Source organism: Homo sapiens, chromosome 2, assembly GCF_000001405.40.
Source record: "Homo sapiens chromosome 2, GRCh38.p14 Primary Assembly".
Classification (NCBI taxonomy): Eukaryota; Metazoa; Chordata; class Mammalia; order Primates; family Hominidae; genus Homo; species Homo sapiens.
The window spans coordinates 195,433,980-195,441,987 of NC_000002.12; the positions used below are offsets into that span (position 1 = coordinate 195,433,980).

General features: G+C 40.9%; 1 annotated feature.

Moving 5' to 3' along the window:
• Positions 6,087-6,587: an enhancer, noted in NCBI's record as "H3K4me1 hESC enhancer chr2:196304790-196305290 (GRCh37/hg19 assembly coordinates)". NCBI's record gives its function as "activates a minimal SCP1, AML or CMV promoter by ChIP-STARR-seq in naive H9 embryonic stem cells {active_cell/tissue: H9 hESC(naive)}" and the evidence as "EXISTENCE:reporter gene assay evidence [ECO:0000049][PMID:30033119]".

Below are 8,008 nucleotides of genomic sequence, written 5' to 3' on the forward strand. Positions count from 1 at the left end.
TAAAGCCAGCAGGTATCATGAGACTTATTCACTATCACTAGAACAACACAGGAAAGACCTGACCCCATGATTCAATTATTTCCCACTGGGTCCCTCCCAAAACATGTGGGAATTCAAAATGAGATTTGTGTGGGGACACAGCCAAACCATATCATGTATTGTGCAAGGGGAAAAGCTTGATTCATGAAACTTGCTTCTGTTATTCATATATATGTATGTATGAGTTGGATATTTATTTATATACAAGTATGTATGTGTCAGGATAAAATATATTTTTTACTAAGTATAAATGCTTAAAGAAAAACATCTGAAAAACACAGATGTCTGTTAGAGTATCAAGAATTTTTCTTTGGTCACTTTTTATTCCTTCTATAGTTGGAGAGTATTTTCTGATCACATATTTCCCCTTTGGGGGAATGATATGGTTTGTCTCTGTATCCCCACCCAAATCTTACCTTAAATTGTAATTCCCCCATGTCACAGGAAGTACCTTTTGGGAGGTGACTGGACAATGTGGGTGGATTTCCTCCTTGCTGTTCTCAAGTTAGTGAGTGAGTTCCCACAAGACCTGTTTGTTTGATAATTGTCTGGGAGTTTCCCCTGCATTCTTTCTCTCTCCTGCTGCCCTGTGAAGAAGGTGCCTGCTTCCCCTTCCCCTTCCCCTTCCGCCCTGATCCTAAGTTTTCTGAGGCCTCCCCAGCCATGTGGAACTGTGAGTCAATTAAATCTCTTTCTTTTATAAGTTACCTAGTCCTGGGTAGTATCTTTATAGCAGTGTGAGAAGAGACTAATACAGGGACTCACAAAATTGTTATTGTTCACACAATTTACTCCTTCTTGATTGTTCAATTTTGCTTTGGAAAAATTCATAAAATATTTTCTTAGAGACTTTTTTTTTTTTACTAAATTATATAAACCTAGACATGTACCTCTTAGAAAATGAGACTAATTTAAAACCTTTGACATATAATTTTTGGCATAACTGCTATTTAGCCTTTACATCAATAAGAATAGCTCACGATGTCTGTGTGTATTAGCAAACTTTTAAATTGTTATTAGAATTGATGGTATAAGCAGGAATTGTTTTTTCTATATGTGGTACAATTGAAACCTCAATTATGGCACAATAAATATCATTGCTTTGACATGTAATACAAAAAGGCATTTAAGAAAGAATTTTTCCATATTAATTTGACACAATTTCTCATTACTAGAGGCAGAAATATCAGAACTAGGAATTAGTTTCCAGCATTGATAATATGAATCTTCCCTAAAATAAAAATTAAAGCGATAAATTGGCATGTGATAATGTTATAAAATTCAGAACTTTACCTAGATTTTTTTCTTTTTAAATCAACTTTATTCATTTATAATACACATAAAATAAAATTCCAAATATTTTAAGTGTACAGTCTGATGAATTTTGACAATGTATACTCTTATGTAACCAGCACACTTCCCAGTCAGTCCTTCTTCAACTATACTATATGCATAAGTAGCACTTCTGTGCCTGGCTTCTTGTGCAGTTTACTTCTTTTCATTACTGAGCAATATTCTATTATAGGGATATATCACAAATTTTTTTATCTATTCACCTATTGATAAAAATTGTGGTTGTTTCTAATTTGGGGCTATTATGAATAATGCAACTATGAATATTTGTGTACAAATCTTTTGGTGAATATATATTTTCATTTATCTTGGATAAATACTGAGGATTAGAATTGCTAGGTCATATGTTAAGGGTATGTTTAACTTCATAAATAACTGCCAAATTATTTTCCAAAGCAGTTGTGCTATTTTATGCTAACCAATGTATAAAAATTTATTTGCTATCTATCTTTGCCAACACTTAGTATTTTATCTATTGTATTAGCCAGGGTTCTCCAAAGAAACAGACCAATAGGAGATCAGATGATAGATAGATAGATAGATAGATAGATAGATAGATAGATAGATAGATAGATAGATTTTCAAACTATATATATTGTATGTACGTTGTATGTGTAAGTTATAAGTTATAAAAGGAATTGGCTCATGCAATTATGGAGGATGAGAAGTCCTGAGATCATGGACAGATTTTCCAGGCTGGGCATTATATGGGTTCAGTATTAAATAAAACTTTGAAAGTTTCAAATATCTGCATGATTTTCTTCATATTTGAAGGCTTTACAACTTTCAGGTGTATGCACTGAAACATTTCAGAGTAGTTTCATTCTTTTAGGCATTTAGGATGATAAATATGATCATTTAAATTTTTTCCCACAATTTTTTATTGATATATTTTCGGGGTATATTGAGTATTTAATTTTGTGAATAGGATTTTCCATACACTGGAATTTTTCCATAAATGGGCACCTGTATGCCAAGAACTGTTCAAAGTGCCTGATGATTTTTAAATTATTTAATCATTTAATCATCATAACTATAGGATGTAGTTACCAATACTACCCGTATTTTACAACTGTCTGTGGCACAGAGAGAAATGAATAACTTGTTCATGTTTGCAGAGCTTGTAAGTAAAAGAGCTGGGAATAGAACCCAAACAGAATATTGTTTCTTCTTGGGTTCTATTGTAATTCTAATCCAATTCTGGATTTTCAAAAATCATCTTTGATTAATATACCTGGGGCTTAATCTGTAATATATTTGGTCTTTGTCCTAGGTTCTACAGGGGTCTTTGTTCCCATCTACATTCTTGACCACTACGCTATATTGCCTCTCTAGAGAGTGATATGTTTTCTCTTCCTATGGGGTTTTAATTTCTGAAATTAAAAAATGGCTAATATAAGACATTGCACCTAGCTGGGTGTATGATAGGCCTTGGGGAGGGGCCAATAAGATCCTCACATATTTTTTATTATACCCTTACAGGAAAATATTCACTTTTCCCAAAGCAAAATACACTATCATTTAGACACTATAATTTCTAGATATTGTAGAAATAGAAGAAAAATCAAAAAGCTATTTTTCCTACTCTGTACTCACTACTCACACACTCAATACAACACTTCTGGCTCCAGATGTATGGGATTTCTTTCTCACACACACTGTGTGAGAAAACAATCAATCCTGCAGTAGACTCTCCAGCAGACACCATCTGGCTGTCCTTTAATTCCATTCTGACACTACCTACCTGGAGATGATGTCAAATCCTGAAGGTTGCGAGCTCAGTCCCACAAGATTATGCCCACTTCAGATGTCAGTTGAAAGCCCCAGGTTGTTACCTATGCTTCTGAATGACCACTGGGTTCTCACAACCCCCTCCTCAGGGCTTGATTAATTTGCAAGAGTGGCTCAGAACCCAGGGAAATACTTTATTTACATTTACTAGTCTATTATAAAGAATATTACAGGCCAGGTGTGGTAGCTCACGCCTGTAATCCCAGCACTTTGGGTGGCCGAGGCGGGCGGATCACCTGAGGTCGGGCATTCGAGACCAGCCTGACCAACATGGTGAAACCCTGTCTCTACTAAAAATACAAAAATTAGCCAGGCGTGATGGTGCACGCCTGTAGTCCCAGCTACTCAGGAGGCTACTCAATCGCTTGAACCCGGGAGGCTGAGGTTGCAGTGAACCGAGATCGTGCATTGCAATCCAGCCTGGGCGACGGAGCAAGATCCGTCCAAGGAAAAAAAAAAAAAAGAGGTAGCCGCCGCAGGTCACTTCAGCTGTGAAGCCCGGTAGGAGCCCTCTGGGTGTAGCCCTGCCTGCCGGGTGGAGCCCCGCGGGTTGCCGCTGCCGCTGCCATGAAGAAGCAGTTCAACCTCATGAAGCAGGTGGCCAACCTGACCATGGGCGGCCTTTCAACCCAGCTCCTGCACCCAGCGGAGGTGCAGATGCGGGAAAAGCCTCTGCAGCAGCATTTGACAGATGATGCCCCAACCCATCAGGTCCAAGTCCAACCAGGTTCCTAAGAAACACAGCAGAGGAGCAGGGATTGGCATCTGCTCACTCTTTGATCTATTTGATTTCAGGTGGTTTGGTTTATGCGGATCCTGGGTAAGAAGAATACTCCAAACTTGGTGTTATCTTCCTAACAGGCATTATAATAGTCTCCCTGGTATATGTATTCTCTCAAAGGTTTTAAGTGCTTCCATGCAGCCATCTCCAGAATGTCAAATGGTCTCTCTTCAACTGAATGACAAGAGATGAAAGAAAGGTGTGACCATGAGGACACCATAACCAATGAATGACGTGCTGAGACCAGAAATCCAAAATCATGGTAACTGAGAGTAGCACAAAGGCTCTAAGTTTTGGTCACACTCTTACCTAAATGAGAACCTGACCAAAAGGGAAGTTTTTTTAAACAAAATTATGGGAGGCCATTGTTTTGGACTGAGCTCATGAGCTGGGACCCAACAGACCAAACCAAACCAAAATGGAGTCCCTCGTGCTAAGACTTTAAGGAAACACATAGATCCTAGAACAGACCACAGACCAGGTTTTGTTTTTCTTCCTCAAATCTCTATAACAAACATTCCTCACAGCATAGGTATCCACCCTGTGAGGTTCCCATAAAATCTTTTAACCAAATTCATTTCCTCTCACCTAGAGATCATCAAGCTTCAGGACATGCTACAAGGGTTCCAGCCAGTACCAGGTGGAGACACCACCCCTGGCCATCAAGGAGCTACCCTTCCTCCACAAGACAGAGCAGGACAAATGTTCCATGATCCCCAGTATGTAGGGACTACACCCCAAGCCAGCATGAAGCAGTTACGGAAGAAAGACCATCAGTCTCTCCACCTGCCATAAAGATTTACTGGAATCCCGTCTTTCAGGGAGGAAATGAGGCAGGAGAACAGGACTTGGAGGCAGGGAGCCTGAGGACTTCCCAGAACCAAATCAAATGGAAACACTTCAGCTATGACAGGAAATACCCTCTCCTTTTACATAGGGCGTACACCGAATAAATGACTTTGTAACTTCACCCTTTTCATTTATGTAGGGCGTACACCAAGTAACCAGTGGAAACCTCTAGAGGGTATTTAAGCCCCAGGAAACTCTGTAACTTGGCCCTTGAGCCACTTGCTTGGACCCACTTCCACCCTGTGGCGTGCGCTTTCATTTTCAACAAATCTCTGCTTTTGTTGCTTTGCTCTTTCAAAAAAAAAGAATATTACAAAGGAAACAGGTGAACAGCAGATGGAAGAGATGCACTGGGCAAGGCATGTGGGAAGGGGTGTGCAGCTTCCATGCCTTCTCTGGGCATGCTACCTTCTAGGAACCTCCACATGTTCAATTATCCAGAAGCTCCTCAAATCTCATCCAAGAATTTTTATAGAGCTTTATCTTTGGCTCTCTCCCTCCTTTCCCCACCCTAAGTCACCTCATTAGGATAAACTCAGGTGTGACCAAAAGGTCTTGAAACAAAAGACACTTTTATTACTCAGGAAATTCTAAGAGTTTTAGGAACTTTGTACAAGAACCAAATATTATAACAAAAGATGCTCCTGTCACTCTTATCACTCAAAAAACAACAAGGGTTTAGAAGGTCTATATCAGGAAACGAGGACAAAAACCATACACATTTCACATTAAACCACAGGTAAATTAATCAAAGATTATTTTTTGAAAATCCAGAATTGGCATCAGACAAACAATAATTCAAAAAATTTGGAGGGGCTTCCAGATGGCTAACTGAAGGCATCTGGTACTCACCTCCTCCACAAAGAAGAACCGAAATAGCAAGCAGATAATCACACTTCAAATAGATCATCTAAGAGAGAACACTGAAATTCAACAGAAAAGTGACAGGAAACATCTAAGCAAGGAAGGAGAGGAAAGTGAGGCAGCCTTCTCCGCCAGGATCAGCTGGGAGCCTGGAGGGGCTCCCGAATGCAGAGAAAGGGTAAGCGAAATACACCCTGAAGTTCACATCCCCACCGTGAACTCCTGTAATCCTAGCCATAGGAGACCCCCTCAGCCCACACAGGCCCTGAGACTGTATAGAGAGCCGCCTGGAGACCGAGCAACTGCATTGCTCCAGAGAGGAGGCTCACACTGGGTCCCACCCCATGCCCAGTCCTAAGCAACTACAGAAAGGTGCCATATTGACAGCCCAGTCCCCACCAGACTGCTTCCTGCCCAGGGGCCCAACAGCCCCTGCCTGTTCACATCCTTGGAGCCACATTGACATATCCCACCCACTAGCACTGCTGTATTAGGGCTGAAACACAAGTCATTGACAAAGACCCCACTCCCGCCAGCAGCAAAGTTGCTGTGCATTTTCACAGACCTGAACACAAACTCTCACACCCTCAGCTGCCACCACTGTGGGCTGCTGCTACCAAGGCCAAAGTGCTAGCAAAGACGGCACTCCCCAGCTACCTGTATGGCTGCTGCCACTGAAAGCAACCCCATCCTCCCAAGTAGCAGGCTGAAGCACAGCCACTGCCACACCCAACCAAAGCACTCCACTGAGGGCTTAGGGATCACCCAACCCCGGCCTACCACAGCCAGAGCCTGCATGCACCACTATGGGATTTGAGGACAGGTCCATCCAGTCTGGCTCTATCCCCTGTGCCCCAGTGCATAGGATTGCTGTCTGGAGGCCTGGAGGCTGCCCAGCCCAGTCCACCACCATTGGCACCTGAGCATTTATCCCAGGGGCCTGAGGTCTGGCCTACCCAACTTGCCACTACAACCACAGTTGGCACCCACCCACATGTACCGCCTGTGAGCCTGGAAACTGGCCTGTCAAACCTATTGCAGCCACCACCAACACCAGCACAAACCACTTAGAAGCCAGAGTGTTGTCCTGCCAATGCTACTACCATCACCCACGCCATGCCAACTGCCCACAGGACTGAAAACATGCCCACCTGGCCAGCCCACTGCTGCCACTTCCAGCACCTGAGCAAGCTGCCTAGAGGCCTAAGAATTGGCCTGCCTGGACCTGCTAACACCAGTGCCATGTACACTGCCTTGGGGCCCAAGGACAAGTACACTTGGCCTACAGCTGCCACCATTAGGGCTCAAAGATAGGTCCACCTAGCATTTCCATTCCCAGCAAAACTTCACCACTGCCTCCACTAATAACCACGCCATAAGCCACTAGGGAAATCACAGACACCACTGACGTTGAAGAAATCATGCAGAGACTACACTACTGCACACACCCAGAATCAAGGCCAAAGTGCTGTACCCAACCAACACCATAGATACATCTTCAGAAAAAAGTTTTCTCCTAAGAAAGCAAATTCAACAGGTTAGAAGAAACAACTGTAATACCAGATATGCGGATACATGAAAAAGCAAGGAAATATGACACCTCCAAAAAAACACAGTAATTATCATAAAAGACATGTACAAAATCCTGGAAAAAGAATTCACAATAATGATACTAAAGAAGCTAAATGAAATATAAGAGAATACAGAAAAACCATACAAAAAAATCAGTAAAACAATTCATGATATGAATGAGAAATTTACCCAAGAAATAGATATCATTAAAAAAAAAACCAAACTAGAATGAAATACAAAATACATTTGAAAGCTTCAGTAATAGACTAGATCAAGCAGAAGAAAAAAAAAAGAAATTCTAGAACTGCATAATTTATTAAATGAAATACAAAATACATTTGAAAGCTTCAATAATAGATTAGATCAAGCAGAAGAAAAAAAAAACAGAATTTAAAGATGGTCTTTTGAAATAAGCCAGACAGAAATAAAGAACTTAAAAATAAAGAATTAAAAAGAATGAACAAAGCCTACATGAAAAACGGGAGACACCATAAAACAGGCAAATATTTGAATTTTCAATGTCTCACAAGGCAAAGAGAAAACAAAAGGGACAGAAAATCTATTTAACAAAATAATAGCTGAAAACTACCCAAGTTTAGCAAGAGATTTAGACATCCAGGTAGGGGAAGCTCAGAGATCTCCAATTAAATACAATTCAAAAAGATCTCCTCCATGGTACATTATAGTTAAATTGTCAAAAGTAAAAGACATATAGAGAATTCTAAAAACAACAAGAGAAAAGTGTGTCGTTACTTACGC